The sequence below is a fragment of the Homo sapiens genome, chromosome 18 (assembly GCF_000001405.40).
Source record: "Homo sapiens chromosome 18, GRCh38.p14 Primary Assembly".
Taxonomy (NCBI): Eukaryota; Metazoa; Chordata; class Mammalia; order Primates; family Hominidae; genus Homo; species Homo sapiens.
This window is the reverse complement of record NC_000018.10, coordinates 21,472,528-21,491,725: the sequence shown is the minus strand read 5'-3', so window position 1 is coordinate 21,491,725 and position 19,198 is coordinate 21,472,528. Positions and strand designations below refer to the sequence as shown.

Below are 19,198 nucleotides of genomic sequence, written 5' to 3'. Positions count from 1 at the left end.
TTTTTTTTTTTTTGAGACAGAGTCTCGCTCTGTCGCCCAGGCTGGAGTGCAGTGGTGCGATCTTGGCTCACTGCAAGCTCCGCCTCCTGGGTTCACACCATTCTCCTGCCTCAGCCTCCTGAGTAGCTGGGAATACAGGCACCCGCCACCACACCTGGCTAATTTTTTTTTTGTATTTTTAGTAAAAACGGGGTTTCACCATGTTAGCCAGGATGGTCTTGATCTCCTGACCTCCTGATCTGTCTGCCTCAGCCTCCCAAAGTGCTGGGATTACAGGCATGAGCCACTGCGCCCAGCCCAGAACAATTTTTGAACACTAAATAATCATCCCCAAATTAGAACTCTTAGAGATTATACAACCCAATTCTCTCATTTTGCAGATGGGAAACCGCAGCCCAGGGTGAAAATGCAAATTCCCCCATGACTATGTGCCTTCTTTTCATAAAATTTGTGCTGAACCAGATTTTCCTTAACCCAATTTAGCTCAGCATTTAATGTATAGGGCGCAGAAACAAGTTGGTCTAACTCAGACATACAGTAGCTAGCTCAGTTCCATACCGACATGTAGGTGGATATTTGATTAAATGCTTTCTAATGGCTAGGCCCCACTGGATTACAGGCCCAGAAAAACCGAGTCAGGCATAAGGTAGGGAGTTAGGTTAGTTGGCTGAGGGTTCTACTCCTCCCACCCTGATGCTTGACAGGAGAGGAAGGGGAGAAGCAGTCAATCACTGGCCGTGCAGAGGGAGCAGTGAGGGACTCAGTCATGCACTAAATTCTTCTGTAGGGCGCCTGGCAAAGTCTCAGTCCAGCCAAAGCCTTGGGGCTGAGGGTCAAAGCAAGTAAAAAGAAACAACAAACTGCTGAGGAATCCACATGCAAGAGGGCTAGGAACAGTTCTGAGTACTGAAGATGAAACAGAATACTTTACCGACTCTAGACATGAGCTCACAGAGAGGCTAGATGAACAGAAAAGAATTAGTGAGTTGAGGATACTTAAAACATTACCCCACAGAGGTCTGAGAGGATAACTTACCTTTTTTTCTCAGAAAACAGATGGCCATGGGCTACATGCATCTTGAACAAGGCCAATAAACATGGGGTCAAATTGGGTCATCTCATTTTTTTGCACCTGCAGTTGGAGAGCATGGAAGACCAACTGCATGCACTAACTGCATGCTATAAAGGGCTGGGCAATCTTTACAAACTGGTTCTAATTAAGAAAGTGAATATGTCCCTTAATTTAGCCTTATCATTGTCATGGAATCACACATGTGATTCTATTAAACTCAGGCCCCTGAGCCACCTATGTAGGATTCCTAGAAAAGAGAAACAAATGGTATTTTAAAGGAGAAATGTCTGTCCATTGCTAACCTTTAATCGCGCCACAAAGTGAGTTGCAACACTGAGTTCGGTGGCCGGGTTCCCAAGGATGATCTCAAACCGATACTGCAGACCCAGTTTGTCGCGCACCTCCTGTAGCCGCTCCTTGGCTAACATCGCCAGCTGCACCGAGGGCACCCTGATAATGAGCATGTGTCCCCTCCCACTTTTGTTTTTGCCTGGGGAGCTGATGAGGTCATCCATAATGCTGAGTGTTTCTGGTGTGCTGTGGTCGCGGAGTGACGCCATGGTGGTGAGAGCCATCAGGGCCTCAGAGTACTGCTGGATGAGAAGATAGCAGCGGACGACCATGCTGTGCAGCCTGGGGTACCTTCAACAGAAAACAAGGCACTAGCACTCAGGCAGCAGGGCCAGCTGGGAGCAGCAAGGCCTGTGCAGTAAGAATGCAGATTAAGCATGGTGGGGAAGGGGCTACTGATCAGTGTGGTGGGGCTTTAGTTCTAGAATGACCTGGGATCCTACATCACTGGAAGGAAAAGGTTGAGCTTCCAAAGCATGTGAATCAACCTGTTGGGATAAGTACAGCACAGTAAAGGGGTTTAGAGATTGTCTAGAAACCTCTTCTCAAAGTATGGTCTACAGACCACCAGCAGCAGCAGCACCTGGGAGCTTGTTAGAAATGCTCAATCTCCCCACCCCAGACCTACTAATCAGAATCTGAAGCTTAACAAGACTCCCAGGGAATTGCATGCACGTTAAATTCTGAGACACGCTGGTCTATTCCATTCATTGCCAGCATAGTCATCATGGATAATTCCTGGATCCTCACCTCTTGCTGGTGGTATTGGGTTAGAATGGCAGCACTGTCCACTTATTTCTCTGATATATAAGATTACAATACAGGAAACTGAGGCATTAATGTAATATCTGTCGAGTATTAGACATAAAAAGGGTAATTATTACTACTAATCTGAGGTCAGCCTCACAGATAGCAATTTCTATCTTTCCATAAACTGTTCCTTGGTGCTGGAGAAACTTGGAGCTGACTGGAGAAATAGCACCCCCTAGTGTTGTAGCCTCATCACCTGAGACCTGGCTCCGTCAAGGGAGCCAAGCAAATCTGAGCCTGGTAGCAGCAGCAGCCTTTGGTACCATTTTCCCCTAAGCCTGGACTGCCAGGGAAGAGGATCCCTTTGTTAAAATCGGCAGTTTTTACAATTATAGGAGGTAGAAAACAAATCTCTCCTTTTGGTGCTACGCCTCAGCCAGGCCTGATGACAAAATGAGTACGAATGGGCAAAGAGGACCCAGTTACAGGCATGAAGAGCTGCTAGTCAAGAAAGCAGGTGCTTGGCTACCCTGAGCACACTGCCCAGCAGTACTTCTGCTGCTGAATAAAAATAAAATTTTTTAAAAAAGAAAGTAGGCTGGGCGCGGTGGCTCATGCCTATAATCCCAGCACTTTGGGAGGACGAGGTGGGTGGATCACTTGAGATCAGGAGTTCGAGACCAGCCTAGCCAACATGGTGAAACCCCATCTCTACTAAAAATATAAAAATTAGCTGGGTGTGGTGGCGGGCGCCTGTAATCCCAGCTACTTGGGAGGCTGAGGCAGGACAATCACTTGAACCTGGGAGGTGGAGGTTACAGTGAGCCGAGATCATGCCATTGCACTCCAGCCTGGGCGACGGAGTGAGAGTCTGTCTTAAAAATATAAAAAAGAGAAAAAGAAAGAAAGTAGGTGCTGGCAAAGTGGGCTCTGGGTCCAAGGTTGGCCAATGCTCTCATGGAGCCTGGTAGAATAAGGCTGGGGCTGTGCACTTTCTTTCTGGTTGCCATTTGGTAGCAATGCAGCCACCAGCAGCTGGGTAGGCTAATGGGGGATTTCACCTTTGTTCCATTCTATAATTCTACTTAAAATACAACAAGTGGTCCACTGGCCTTGCACAGAAAACCTCCAGGTCAAAGAAATGCCAATGACAGCTATCAAATGAATAACACATGAACACTTTTGAGGTGTTTTAGAACTGGAAAGGACCAAGATGCCCTGTATATGAACAACTCTGCCTTTTCTTTTTCTTTTTTCGAGACAGAGTCCCGCTCTGTCACCCAGGCTGGAGTGCAGTAGTGCAATCTTGGCTCACTGCAACCTTCGCTTCCCGGGTTCAAGCAATTCTCCTGCCTCAGCCTCCTGAGTAGCTGGGATTACAGGCATGCGCCCAGCTAATTTTGTATTTTTAGTAGAGACAGGGTTTCTCCATGTTGATCAGGCTGGTCTCAAACTCCTGACCTCAGGTGATCCGCCCACCTCAGCCTCCCAAAGTGCTGGGATTACAGGTGTAAGCCACTGCACCCGGTCTTTTTTTTTTTTGAGATGGAGTCTCACTCTGTCGCTCGGACTGGAGTGCAATGGCGCAATCTCAGCTCACTGCAACCTCCGCCTCCCAGGTTCAAGTGATTCTCCTGCCTCAACCTCCCAAGTACCTGGGATTACAGGTGCCCGCCACCACGCCTGGCTAATTTTTTTTTTTTTTTGTATTTTTAGTAGAGACAGGGTTTTACCACGTTGGCCAGGCTGGTCTCGAACTCCTGACCTCAGGTGATCCACCCACCTTGGCCTCCCAAAGTGGTGGGATTACAGGCATGAGCCACCGCGCCCAGCCCACTCTGCCTTTTCATAGAAAGAGAATGAGTTCAGGGGCAGAGAGAAGTTCAGCTGCTTGTCCCAGTTCATACAACTGATCAGAGACAAAGCTAGCTCTAGATTTTATCCAGCCTCTAGCAAGGTCTTCACACATTGCAAGGATTTAGCTGGCTGGGTAGAAATGAAGAAATCCTTCAGTTCAATAAATCCTGGGCTGGTCCCTTCAGGTATTCAGTAAGTCATAGCTACTATTAGGCTGGGGTGACTGGGTTGGAGGAAATAAGTATAGATAATCTATGTTTCAAGCTTAATGCTTTTTGCTGGGCCACGTAGAAAAGCCAAAGTTAGAATAAATGGTAACTTTGATATCTGGCATTTCTGTTTCATACTCTGGAAGAATCATGAAGTCAGAAGTGCACAGTTTCTCCAATCTGTCATGCTTGCATTAAACTATACTTACAACTTTTGTAGCACAAAACTACAATAGAAAGTTGATGAGATCATCATTTAAAATAAAAGTTAGGAAACTCTGAATGATGTTACCAGAAAAAGAAGATGCATTTCAAGCTGGTGGATGTAACAGGTGGGTAGGAATGCTTAAAGGGGGTACTCATGGAATGATTTTGGAAAATTAAGACTACATGTGCTGTGAAAGGATTAATGTCACAGTGTCAGTTAAGACTTTCCAAATCCAACAGCTGCAAAAATATCAAACCGTACTTGAGCCTGTGCTCTTTCCGGATGCAGTATTATAATCTACTGAATAGGATGCATCCATAGGTCCTCATTTTAATTTCCTTTTCTTTTTTCTTAGCAAAATTATGGACAGGTTTGTTAAATAGCTGTTAAATAATATGATCAATTAAAGCCATTCTAAGAACTATAGCTACTAAAAATTAGAATTTGCCCCATAAAATAAAGCCCAATCGCCCCAACATTGGATGATCAAACAGAATATTGTGGAGGGCAGAAAGGGACCTTTATTAGGTTAGGTAAATTCTAATGTCTCTACCTACCTCTGAATCTATGATTCAAGGTCACAGAGGGAAAAAAACTCTTTCAGAGTTTAATCTGAAAATGGGGATTTTTTTTTTCTTTTTTTAGAAAAGGGAAGAAAAGACAGCAGTTATGTTCCTTAATCCCTAAGGCCAGGGACTGGAGGAGGAGCCCCAAGAACTGAATTCACCTCAATTATCTGATTGCTCTTTAATTTCTTCCAGTGTATACTTCAAATCTCTCATAGTAAAGTTTAGTTTTTACTGAATCATCTTAGGGTCCTTGCCTGTGGTGGACAGGGGAGAAAAGAGGGAAAAATGTCAAAGTCTGAGGTGTAGGGTAGGAGAGGCCGGAGCTCAGAGAAGTGGGACTTTTTTTTTTTTTTTTTGAGACGGAGTCTCGCTCTGTCACCCAGGCTGGAGTGCAGTGGCGTGGTCTCGGCTCACTGCAAGCTCCACCTCCCGGGTTCACACCATTCTCCTGCCTCAGCCTCCCAAGTAGCTGGGACTACAGGCATCTGCCACCACGCCTGGCTAATTTTTCGTATTTTTAGTAGAGATGGGGTTTCACCGTGTTAGCCAGGGTGGTCTCGATCTCCTGATGTCATGGTCCGCCCGCCTCGGCCTCCCAAAGTGCTGGGATTACAGGCGTGGGCCACCGCGCCCAGCCAGAAGCGGGTCTTGAATAAGCAAATCCCTCTCTGCCCTATCCATCTCCTGATGATAGCAGTGAAGCATGACCGGGAGCTGACTCAGCATGAAAAGTAGTGCAATGGCCCACTTTGGTTGTATTTTCCTTTATTGATCTTGGATGATCACATAAAACAATAGTAGGGCATCTTAGGAAAGGCTGTTTTAATTTGGCCTTTGCACGTCATCTGCAAGGGCTCCATCAAACACCCCGTAGCACTGACACAAAAGGCTTTTGGCTATTTTAGATCTGCAAGTACAGCTAGAGAGAAGAGCAGAAGGCCTTATTTACTATTTACCTCTCCAAGAGTGTGTTCACCATTTTTTCAAAAGTCTCGTCACATCTCAGAAGTGGGCTCGTGATCCCCCACTGCAGAGACTTGCTGTACTCACTCAAGCCAAAGTACAGCTTCTCCTCGCAGCCCACGTCCTCCTGGTTCAAAATACAGAGCAAAAACCCAATGAGGACAGGATACAGTGTGTCTTGTTTTCCAGAAAGTGGGGTTTACAGAAATGACCGCTGTAAGAGGTTATTTCCTGACAAGTAAGAAAAAATACTGTTTCATTATGTAACCCGACACCAACTCTGCAGTCATCTCTGAGGCACTAAGTGAAACTTCTTTTAATTTCAAAGGAACTGAATATGTGATTAGTGGAAAGTTGACACACTTCCTTCAGGCACATGGTTTGTTTTCTTTTTTTTTTGTTGGGATACACAAGGTCAGACAGCCTCAATTCTCAGCCTTTTTCCCTGCTGGAAGTAGTTCTCTATACAGATAAATAGGCTTTCCTCAGAACGCTCTAGAGATTGACAAACTCCTCTGTTACAGAAACCTTAACTTTTCTGACATCATTTCATAATGATAACTCATAAAAGCTTATCTTTGCAAACAAATTTTACTTTAAAAATGGAATATATGCTTTCCTTTAACAGGATCCACAGTATTTAACGTAGCCCCCTCTTGATGAGTCAGTCATCACTATGAAAATGAATAGCTATTTTAGGATGTGACATAAGGATGCCCTCAGAGGATCTTGAGAAGTGTGACAAGTTGCTTATCCTTAAACTCAGAAGCTCTACGATATTAAATAAGCTTTTTGAGTTCATGAATCTGTTTTTGTTTGTAGCTTTCTTTTGCATCTTTTCTACATTAGTTTTTTACAGTCACTGCTTGCTGTCATGTTGCCTGTGCCATTTGGTCTCACTTTTGTTATTTTATTTTATTTTTGAGACCAAGTTTTGCTCTTGTTGCCCAGGCTGGAGTGCAATGGTGCGATCTTGGCTCACTGCAACCTCTGCCTCCCGGTTTCAAGCGATTCTCCTGCCTCAGCCTCCCGAGTGGCTGGGATTACAGGCACCCACCACCACGCCCAGCTAATTTCTTTTTTTGCATTTTTAGGAGAGACGGGGTTTCGCCACGTTGGCCAGGCTGGTCTCAAATTCCTGGACTCAGGTGATCCGCCCGCCTTGGCCTCCCAAAGTGCTGGGATTACAGGCGTAAGCTACTGCGCCTGGCCCACTTTTGTTATTTATTATGTGTTGACATTTTTATTTAAGTGCTCTCCAACTCATAAAGGAAATAAGGCAGCTTTAAAAAATGTAATAAGATAAAGGCTGGGCGCAGTGGCTCACGCCCGTAAACCCAGCACTTTTTTTTGAGACCAGCCTGGCCAATATGGTGAAACCCCATCTCTACCGAAAATACAAAAATTAGCCAGGCGTGGTGGCGGGTGCCTACAGACCCAGCTACTCAGGAGGCTGAGGCAGAAGAATACCTTGAACCCGGAGGTGGAGGTTGCAGTGAGCCGAGATTGTGCCACTGCACTCCAGCCTGGGCGACAGAGTGAAACTCCATCTCAAAAAAAAAAAAAATTATATATATATATGTATGTATGTATTAAGATAAAAATAAATTAAGCAATCAGAGGAAGAAAAAGCAAGGGTAAGAGAAGGAAGATTGGGCCAGGGATAAAGTAAGTATTCCCTAAAATGCATGCCAGCAGCTGCTGCACATTTGGTTAGAAGTGGGCTACAAATTTGGTAGCCCAAATTCTGAGCTTTTTTTTTTTCTTTTTTTTTGAGGAGTCTCACTCTGTCACCCAGGCTGGAGTGCAGTGGCATGATCTCGGCTCACTGCAATCTCTGCCTCCTGGGTTCAAGCCATTCTCCTGCCTCAGCCTCCCAAGCAGCTGGGACTACAGGCATGTACCACCACACCCAGCTAATTTTTGTATTTTTAGTAGAGATTAGATTTCACCATGTTAGCAGGCTGGTGTCGAATTCCTGATCTCAGGTGATCAACCTGCCTCGGCCTCCCAAAGTGCTGGGATTACAGACATGAGCCAATGTGCCCGGCTGGTTCTGAGCTTTTCAGTAACCATCTAAAGAGAAACAACTGTATGATTTATAAGGTCCATAAGATAAAAATAAAGCATGTTTTAACTGGCAGCTTTTAATTTTTTGAGGTCCCCCCCAAAACCCTGCTTTTAGGAATAGGGTTTGAGGGTAAACAGGCTTTATGAGAGCACCGGAATATGTTCCTAGAGATACTGGAGACTGACAACATAGATTGAATGACATCTATTTTCAAGGCTAGAAGCCTTTGCTTATTTCCTTCTGGGCTTAGCTGTGTTCTGGGTAACTGTGTCAAATAAGTCATTTCACAGGGAAAAAAGTCATTCATCTAAGTTTCCCTCCTTATCTGGACTGCAGACACAGAGTCATCTGGAAAAGCTTTATGAAGTGTGTACTTGGTCTTCACGTTTCCCTCTCACCCTTGGCCCCTGTTTCTTTGGGAAAATGTCAAATCCTATTCCGAGCCTGCTGCTCTTCCTGACACAGCATTAGAACTGCTGGATACGATGCATCCGCCTTGCATCCACCTGTCCTCGTTTTTATTTCTCTCTCTTTCTTCTTAGCAGGTTGGTAAATAGATGGCCTGTGATTAACTAGAGCCAGTATGGGTTTTGAGAACTAGAGCTACTAAAAATTAGAATTAGAAGTGAATGGTTTCTCCATCTGTTCTGTTTGCATTAAACTGTAACTATGGTTTTGTGTTACAAAAGTTTTAACAGAAATGAGTGGAACCATCCTTTAAACTATGAGTTATGAAACTGAATGATTTTACTATAAAGATACGTTTCAGGTATCATAAATCGTCTGACTTATTGAATCACTATTTCTGGGGGGAGAATGTCCCTTCTCATAAGGCAAACTCCCCGCTGTGGAAGGCCTGCCCTTTCAGTGACCCTCCATGCTCCCTGTGCTTTCGCTGCGGGCGTTGGTGATGACTTGTTGGCCCTTGGTCTCACTACCCTCTTGGCAGTTCTTTGTTATTTTCTTCCATGATTCTAACCACACCAGCTGCTTCAATGATCATTGTTTGTAAAAAAAAAAAAAAAAAAAAAAATCTGTAATCTACACAATGGTGTGCTCACCTGCATCTTAACTCAAAGTCAGTCTCATCTGCCCTCCACAAATCAAACTTCTTTCAGGCCAGGCGCGGTGGCTCACGCCTATAATCCCAGCACTTTGGAAGGCCGAGGAGGGCAGATCACTTGAGGTCAGGAGTTCAAGACCAACCTGGCCAACACGGTGAAACCCCATCTCTATTGAAAATATAAAAAATTAGCCGAGCGTGGTGGCACATGCCTGTAATCCCAGCTACTCAGGAGGCTGATGCAGACGAATCGCTTGAACCCGGGAGGCAGAGGTTGCAGTGAGCTGAGATCGTGCCACTGCACTCCAACCTGGCTAACAGAGTGAGACTCCGTCTCAAAAAACAAAACAAAACAAAAAACTTCTTTCAACTTCTTTTTTCCAACTAAAGGGAACGCCTCAAAAATATTTCTGGTTCTTCTCTCTCCCTGAATAAACAAATCCTAGAAAATGTACCATGTCTCCCATCCATTTTACTACCAGGACCATCATTCTAATTCATGTATTTGTTCATTCTAACCCAAATTATCAGAAAAGCCACTGACTGATCTACTTCTAATCACTTTGACTTAGCCTCTAGATTGAATGAACTGCCTCTCAGTAGCTATTAAAGCTGAACATATGAGTACCTGATGACACAGCAATTTCACTCTCAGAGACCCAAAAGAAATGCATACATACGTTTACTAAAGGGTGTGCCAGGATGTTACAGCAGTACTATGTGAAATAAAATAGGATGGATACATGAATTGTGGTGGAGTCATATAATGTAACACACACACAGAGCAAAAAGAATGATTTACGATTCATGAAAACTGCAAATTTCACAAACATCATGTTGAGCAAAGGAAGTCAGATACAAGAGAGTACATACTCCATGTTTCCATTTATATAAGCTCCATACTGAGCAAAACAAATCTGTAGTACAGAAGGCCAGAATAGTGTTACCCTTTAGTGGGGGTGCCTAGAAGGGACACAGGACTTCTCGGGTGGTGGTAATATTCTGTTTCTTGATCTGAGTGCTGGTCCCACAGGCGTGTTTCGTTTGTAAAAATTCATCAAGCTGTACATTTACATTGTTAATATAAACAAGAAACAGGTAAATTCTAATAATGCTATATATATATATATATATACACACACACACACACACACACACACACACACACACACATACATATATACTGTTGCTCAAAAATCCTTAATGCCTGTATAATAAGTATAAACTTTGCTAGCCTGAAACTCACAGCCTCCATGTGTATATTTCCAGTCTTCTTTTGCATCCTATCCAGCATTCTCTGAAAAATGCCCACAGTTTTCTCCTCTGTGTCCCCTGCCCACACTGTCTGCTGCCAGGAGTGCCTCCTCCTGCCCCCATCCCCCTGCCCAGGCCTTCCTGTCTTTCCAGGGCCATCCCCTGTTCTCTCTTTTCCACGGAGCTTCCTCTGGACCTCTCAAATAAATGTGACTCCTCCCTCACTTCAACTCCCAGAACATTTTGATTTTTTGAAATTGTCTTATTCTCCTCTGGATAATAGTGACTTAGATATGTACTTTGCTTTCTCCTCTAAACCATCAGTTTTCTTTTTCTTTCTTTCTTTTTTTTTAATCTGTCACCCATGCTGGAGTACAGTGGTGCTATCTCGGCTCTTTGCAAACTCCGCCTCCCAGGTTCAAGTGATTCTCCTGCCTCAGCCTTCTGAGTAGCTGGGATTACAGTTGCCCGCCACCACGCCTGGCTAATTTTTGTATTTTTAGTAGGGATGGGGTTTCACCGTGTTGCCCAGGCTGGTCTCTAACTCTTGACTTCAAATGATCTGCCTGCCTTGGCATTCCAAAGTGCTGGGATTACAGGCATGAGCCACTGTGCTTGGCCTAAACCATCAGTTTTCTGTGTGTTCTTTGCAAGATTCAACACAAGTCCACAAGTGTGCTCAATCATATTTTTTGAATTAAATTAATTTGCTTTTTTCCAATTACTCCTCCTGGGATATAGGCTTCAATATAACTAAAGGACGCTAATCATCAGGAGCTTCTCCCTTACATGTATAAGGTTGTTGTATATTAAATTAAATGCTTTTTTTCCCTTTATCCCATGTTGATCTCAATTTCAGGGATGATTTCTTTAAATCTTAAATTGAAGAAGAGTATAACTATTCACCTCTCAATTAGTTTGAACAAATACCTGATATCATATCTTTAATCCAGAAGTACATCACTAGATATATCTAAGATAAGAAGCCCCTCCCCTCTTTTTGTTTTTGAGATGGAGTCTTCCTCTGTCACCTAGGCTGGAGTGCAGTGGCATAATCTCGGCTCACTGCAATCTCCACTTCCTGGGTTCAAGCAATTCTCCAGCCTCAGCCTCTGGAGTAGCTGGGATTACAGGTGCCTGCCACCACACCCAGCTAATTTTTGTATTTTTAGTAGAGATGGGGTTTCACCACATTGGCCAGGTTGGTCTCGAACTCCCGACCTCAAGTGATCCACTCATCTCAGCCTCCCAGAGTGCTGAGTTTACAGGCGTGAGCCACCGCGCCTAGCCAAAAACCCTTTTCAGAAACATAACCACAGGCTGGGTACAGTGGCTCATGCCTGTAATCCTGATACTTTGGGAGGTCAAGATGGGAGGACTGCTTGAGGCCAAGAGTTTGAGACCAGCCTGGGTGATACAGTGAGATACTGTCTCTACAGAATATTTTTAAAATTAGTCAGGCATTGTGGTATGTGCATGTAGCTCTGCTACTTGGGAGGGTGAGGTGGGAGGATTGTTTGAGCCCAGGAGTTTGAGGCTGCAGTGAGCCATGATTGCACCACTGCACTCCAGCATGGGCGTCAGACCCTGACTCAAAAAAACGTAAAAATAAATAACTGTAATACCATTATTAAACCTTAAAAATTAATCACTTCCTTAAAATGATTTTTTTTTTTTTTTGAGACAGGGTCTTGCTATGTCTCTCAAGCTGGAATGTAGTGGCATAATCTCAGCTCACTGCAGCCTTGACCTACTGGGTTCAAGCAGTCTTCCCACTTCAGCCTCCTGAGTAGCTGGGACTATAGACACATGCCACCGTGCCTGGCTAACTTTTATACTTCTTGTAGAGATGGGGTTTCACCATGTTGCCCAGGCTGGTCTTGAACTCCTGGGCTCAAGTGATCCACCCACCTCGGCCTCCCTAAGTGCTGGGATTACAGGTGTGAGCCACTGTGCCTGGCTAAAATGACTTTTAAGGAAAATTATTTTAAGCCTGTTTCTCTATTTCATGGTAGGAGAAAATAAAGGGCAGAGGCTATTGGTCCTTCTTCCTATCACTGGGGTGTGATCCCTTTCGGAAAAGACTGAATTAGGACAGTTGTCTCTACACTCCAATATATCGAAATTTAATGCAAAATAAGAGAACTATCTGGGGGATTAAAAAATTAATTAGTCTTGGCTGGGCATGGTGGCTCACACCTGTAATTCCAGGACTTTGAGAGGCCGAGGTGAGTGGATCAACTGAGGTTGCGAGTTCGAGACCAGCCTGGCCAACATGGTGAAATTTGGTCTCTATTAAAAAAACAAAAATTAACCAGGCAAGGTGGCGAGCACCTGTAATCTCAGCTACTCTGGAGGCTGAGGCAGGAGAACTGCTTGAACCTGGGAGGTGGAGGTTGCAGTGAGCTGACTTCGCACCACTGCACTCCAGCCTGGGTGACAGAGCGAGACTCTGCCTCAAAAAAATAATTAATTAGAAAAATAATTATTCTTTCCATTCATTCTCTTGGCAATCCATTCTTTGTCAGAGCAACCCAGCAGCTACTTGGGTAGCCCACAGGCTCCCCTTGTAGTTTGGAGGCAAAGGAACTCTGGCAGCTCTGTTATCTCACCCCTACCTCAACTGCCCAATGAATGGCTGGAGCTGGCATGGAGAAGATACCAAGAAAGCAAAAGCTCAAAGTAATCTCTAGTGATAGAACACACTGAGTTAGTTCTCATAAGGCAGTGACTGCTGAAGACAAGATTCAAGGACCTGAGCTTCCTGCTTGCAAGGAACAAACCAATGCTTGAAGACAAGAGCGCCAAGTCAGAGAACTTACCTACTTCATGACAGAATAAAATGCACTGGGTTGAAAAATAAATGTTAGTTTTATGTAAGACATTTTTGGTGTTTTTTACTTAAACATGTTTATTTTAAAATATCCAGTGTGTTCAATATTTTTAAATGAGGGATCCATTGCTTAATGGCTAATTTTTATTATTTTTATGAAACTCACATTTCTTTTCTTTGATAGTATATTTAGCATACAGTTTCAGGTCATAGAAAATATTTTTCAATATTAGAGATTGGAGTAAAAACTATAAATCCCTGGATATATCCAATGTTGAGATGGGTAGTCTCAACACATTCACTGCTACTATGGAGTTATCTAAAGTAACAGTGCCATCATCCCATTTCATACAGAAGACTGTGAAAACTGATTTAAAACAAAAACCCAGTTGCTGGAGGAGCAAGAGAGTAATTAACAGTGATGCAGATCATCAGACTAAAACATGACAAAAAGGCCATCCAAGAGGACAATAAAATGTCCAGGTCTCAGGGTGAAATTAATCATATGAAGGCACAAAGGAAATCCAGGATATTGATGATGGCCTCAGATAACATCAACATTTTCTTTTTGAAAAATTATATACGACAGATAATTTTGTATCTGCATGATACCTAAGAACCACCTAATCAAATTTATATAGGATATTATTCACAAGCCTTTAGTCTTATAATAATTGTTAAAATATATGGAACTTTTGGAAGATACAGAATTATGTTAGTTTTTTGTTTTTTTTTTTTTTGAGACGGAGTCTCGCTCTGTCCCCCAGGCTGGAGTGCAGTGGCACAATCTCCGCTCACTGCAACCTCCGCCTCCCGGGTTTAAGTGATTCTCCTGCCTCAGCCTCCTGAATAGCTGGGATTACAGGCGTGTGCCAGCACACCCGGCTAATTTTTTGTATTTTTAGTAGAGACGGGGTTTCACCGTGTTAGCCAGGATGGTCTCGATCTCCTGACCTTGTGATCCACCCGCCTCGGCCTCCCAAAGTGCTGGAATTATAGGTGTGAGCCACCGCACCCAGCCAGATTTTTGAACTCTTACATAAAGCATTACGTTAGATTTTGAATTCTTATGAATATGGTCTTAAGCCATGACACATTTTGTTACAAGGTCCTACCCTCTTGGGAACTGAGAACATGACAGTGTATCAGACAGCAGGCAAGAGACTCACCCCAGTATCCAGCTGTATCCAGTGAACCTCATTGCTAGAGCTAATGCGGGACTGTTGGGTCTGCAGAGTGTATGGGAAGGAGCTGACCTGGAGCACCAGGAGGTTGAAAGCTTCCAGAACTTCTCTGCAATTAATGACTCTATCAGCTAGCCCATGACTGGGTTCGCTATGTGACAAAGAGCCTGAAATGACACTGTAGAAAAATTGAAAGTCATATTAATACCTCATTTAACCAAGTAGATATAGAATCAGACACTAACATGGACATACTGTTTTAGTTTTTATTTTTCTATCTCTTTTCAATTGGGAGCAGAGAAGAAACAACTAAAATTTGACACGGAAAGGAAAAAAAATTTACATTCCTTCTTTTCAGACAGATTTCAGGAATATGTATTTTTTTTCCTTTTCACTTTATTCCCAATATACCTCAAAGTGCAAACTCAGTCATTTAGGCCAGTGATATCTAAATCTGCAGTTGGGCCAGGCATGGTGGCTCACGTCTGTAATCCCAGCACTTTGGGAGGCCAAGGCAGATGGACCACCTGAGGTCAGGAGTTCAAGACCAGCCTGGCCAACATGGTGAAACCCCGTCTCTATTAAAAAAAAAAAATACAAAAAAAATTAGCTGGGTGTGGCGGTGTGTGCCTGTAATCCTAGCTACTCGGGAGGCTAAGGCAGGAGAATTGCTTGAACCAGGAGGAGGAGGTGGCGGTGAGCAGAAATCACGCCACTGTGCTCCAGCCTGGGCAACACAGCTAGACTGTTTAAAAAAAAAACAAAACCCCAAAACAACAACAACAAAAAATTAAATTCAGAGAAGTCCCAACATGTATCCTCAGAAATATCACCCAAAACTTTCAAAGATGAGGTGTACAGGGTCAATGAGCTATTCCTGCTCATAGAAGACTACCAAGACCTAAACAGATGTGGGCAAAATTTCTTTTCCCGCTCTCTCTCTCTCTCCCTCCCTTCCTTTCTTCAAAATCTAACAAGTTCTACAAGATCTTATTTATACCTATGTATGGCTCTAGGTTTCAGATTGTGGAGTATTATCAAACACTTTCTGGCTTCTGAAAAAGAGCTTTGCAATTCTGACATTTCCCTACCACAAACCAAAAACTTCCAGATTCCTAACCTCAGCATCTCCTGGAGAAAAGAACATCTACAAATGCTTGATGATGTCTGAAATTTCTCTCCCCACTACATGGTGAGGACAAACCATGATATGTAATACACGATGACTATTTGCCACCCCCGACCCCTGCTGATTTGCTTTTTGATCCATAGGAGCAAAGATGCCCCCTACCAGATAATTACTAGAATTTGATCTGGGAGCAAATATGGATCCATATTTGACTCTTTTTTTTTTTTTTTTTTTTTTTTTTTGAGACGGAGTCTCTCTCTGTGTCACCCAGGCTGGAGTGCAGTGGCATAATCTCCGCTCACTGCAACCTCTGCCTCCTGGGTTCAAGTGATTCTCCTGCTTCAGCCTCCCTAGTAGCTGGGATTACAGGCATGTGCCACCACGCCCAGCTAATTTTTTTGTATTTTTGGTAGAGATGGGGTTTCACCATGTTGGCCAGGCTGGTCTTGAACTCTTGTCCCCAAGTAATCCACCCACCTTGGCTTCTCAAAGTGCTGGGATTATAGGTGTGAGCCACCGCACCCTGCCAACTTTTCTTTCATTAATAAGTTCATCCAGGCCAGGCATGGTGGCTCACGCCTGTAATCCCAGCACTTTGGGAGTCCAAGGTGGGTGGATCACGAGGTCAGGAGTTCAAGGCTGGCCTGGCCAAGATGTTGAAACCCCATCTCTACTAAAAATACAAAAATTAGCCAGACGTGTGGCGGGCGTCTGTAATCCCAGCTACTCAGGAGGCTGAGGCACAGAATTGCTTGAACCCGGAAGGCGGGGGTTGCAGTGAGCCGAGATCGCATCACTGCACTCCAGCCTGGGTGACAGAGTGAGACTCTATCTCAAAAATAATAATAAGTTCATCCAGTAAATATGATACTCTCTTGTTTAAACTGGGAAACTGGGGAAGCTTTCAGGTCATCAAAGTGGCATCTCTACTGCTTTTAAAGGCAAGAGGGGAGAAGGGCAAGGAAGAGGAGAAATAGTGAGAGAGGAAGGAAAAGAAGCAAGGCCAAATGGAAAAGTGGGGTGGAGGCAGAGAGGGAAGCACATCTCCCTTCCAGGAGCTCATTCATCTTAACCTCCTTATTGCTGTCCTTTCTCTAATGAAGCTGAGTTCCACAAAGCTCTTAAAACAAAATTTTTTCAGGAATCTCTAAATTCATCCAGAGTGCAGTGATATGGTTTGGCTCTGTTTCCCCACCCAAATCTTATCTTGTAGCTCCCATAATTCCCATGTGTTGTGGGAGGGACCCGGTGGGAGATGATTGAATTATGGGGATGGGTCTTTCCCATGCTGGTCTTGTGATAAAGAAAGTCTCATGAGATCTGATAGTATCATAAGGGGGAGTTTCTGGCTGGAGAAATTTGCATAAGTAACAAGGAGCGGAATCTTAATCCCCAAGACAATGGGGGAAAATGTCTCCAGGGCATGTCAGAGGTCTTCATGGCAGCCCCTCCCATCCACAGACCTAGAGGCCTAGGAGGAAAAAGTATTTTTGTGGGCCAGGAGGGAAAAGTGGCTTTTTGGGGTGGGCCCTGTGCTGTGTGCAGCCTAGGGACTTGGAGCCCCACATCCTAGCTGCTCCAGCCATGACTAAAGGGGCCAATGTACAGCTTGGGCTGTTGCTTCAGAGGGTGGAAGCAGCTTCCACATGGTGTTGAGCCTGTGGGTACACAGAAGTCAACAACTGAGGTTTGGGAGCCTCTGCCTAGATTTCAGATGTATGGAAATGCCTGTATGCCCAGGCAAAAGTTTGCTGCAGGGGTGGGGCCCTCATGGAGAACCTCTGCTAGGGCAGTGTGGAAGGGAAATGTGGGGTCAGACCCACCACACTGAGTTCCTACTGGTGCCAGTAGCCTCTTTGTTTTAGCCAATTTCTCCCATTTGTAATGGCTGTATTTATCCAATGCCTGTACCCCCATTCTATCTAGGAAGTAACTAACTTGCTTTTGATTTTACAGGCTCCTAGGCAGAAGGGACTTGCCTTGTCTCAGATGAGACTTTGGACTTGGATTTTTGGGTTAATGCTGAAAAGAGTTGAGACTTTGGGAGACTGTTGGGAAGGCATAATTGGTTTTGAAATGTGAAGATATGAGATTTGGGAGGGGCCAGGGGCAGAAAGATATGGTTTGGCTCTGTATCCCCACCCAAATCTCATCTTGTAGCTCCCATAATTCCCACGTGTTGTGGGAGGGACCCAGTGGGAGATGACTGAATTATGGAGGCGGGTCTTTCCCGTGTTGTTCTTGTGACAGTAAGTCTCACGAGATCTGATGATATTATCAGAGGTTTCTGCTTTTACATCTTCCTCATTCTCTCTTTGCCTGCCGCCATCCATGTAAGATGTGACTTGCTCCTCCCTGCCTTATGCCATGATTGTGAGGCTTCCCCAGCTACGAGGAGCTGTGAGTCCAATGAAACCTCTTTTGTAAATTTTCCCAGTCTCGGGTATGTCCTTATTAGCACCATGAAAATGGACTAATATATGTAGTTAACATAAAACCAACATGAAATCGATGAGAGAAGTCGAGGAAGCAAGAAAAGGGTAGGAAAAAGTTACCAGTAAGAAGATGGCAAAGATTAGGGTCCCTGGGCTTTGGAATCACCTTTAACACATTTTCTTTTCTTTCTTTTTTTTTTTTTTTTTTTGAGACAAAGTCTCACTCTGTCACCCAGACAGGAGTGCAGTGGTGTGATCTTGGCTCACTGGAACCTCCAGCGCCTGGGTTCAAACAATTCTCCTGCCTCAGCCTCCCAAGTACTGGGATTACAGGCATGCACTACCAGGCCCAGCTAATTTTTATATTTTTAGCAGAGATGGGGTTTCACCATGTTGGCCAGGCTGGTCTCTAACTCCTGACCTCAAGTGATCCACCCGCCTCAGCCTCCCAAAGTGTTGGGATTACAGGTGTGAGCCACCGCGCCTGGCCATCTTTAACATATTTCATTAGGTAACAATTATTCCTGTAGAAGGGAGACTCCATTTGCTCACTCTGAACCAATCACCTCGTTAGTTCCACATGGGAGTTGTCATGAACTAGCACAAACAGTGTGTACGGGTTCTGTTTCACTCTCCTCATAAAAACTTCAAACTTGGTTTGAATCTCATTGTCTAGACGAACAACATATTTTTCTGCTCTCTGATGGGCTGTCCCATTTTCCTCCAGACCCAAGTCTACAAGGACACCTGCCAAGAAGAAAAAAGTTCATCTTTTAACACACTTTTACACATACACACACACACAGGAGATAGACTTGAGTTCATTGTCAGCTGACACTGGGTACCAACTGTATGAAGAGATTTACAGAGCAGATGTTTTTTCTTTCTTATGTTCCCCATCACAGTATGAGGAGGAAATATCAGATATCCTTTTCTTTGTAACACTGCCGCTCACCTCCCATCCCTGACACAAATACAGGGAACATTCTGGTACATGAGATAAAGGCAGCTGAGTGTATGAGACCTTTGCTTCATTAAATTCTATTTGTATATAACATGCTGCTGCTAATGGCTTCAACAGGCCACCTGGAAAAAAATTAAGCTTTGGGCTACAGCTCTTGACCAAATTAATATAAGCCTTTTTAACCCTAAATTTGGCAACAAACCATATACAAGAAAAAAAAAACCAATATAATGTTCAAGGATACCACGTTAGATTGTCAGCTTTTCATGGTAGTGTTTTACTCATT

General features: G+C 44.0%; 1 protein-coding gene across 29 annotated transcripts in view; it reads right to left on the bottom strand.

Annotated features, from left to right (window-relative positions):
• GREB1L (GREB1 like retinoic acid receptor coactivator) overlaps positions 1-19,198 on the bottom strand; it is a 283,881-nt gene that overhangs the window by 34,387 nt on the left and 230,296 nt on the right. For all 29 annotated transcript variants that reach the window (XM_006722547.4, XM_011526179.4, NM_001410867.1 and 26 more), the window contains 4 exons: positions 18,515-18,695; positions 14,370-14,562; positions 5,973-6,106; positions 1,375-1,714 (listed from right to left, as the gene is read on the bottom strand). In XM_006722547.4, the coding sequence (XP_006722610.1) occupies positions 1,375-1,714; positions 5,973-6,106; positions 14,370-14,562; positions 18,515-18,695 (848 nt within the window). The remainder of the gene's footprint in view (positions 1-1,374; positions 1,715-5,972; positions 6,107-14,369; positions 14,563-18,514; positions 18,696-19,198) is intronic.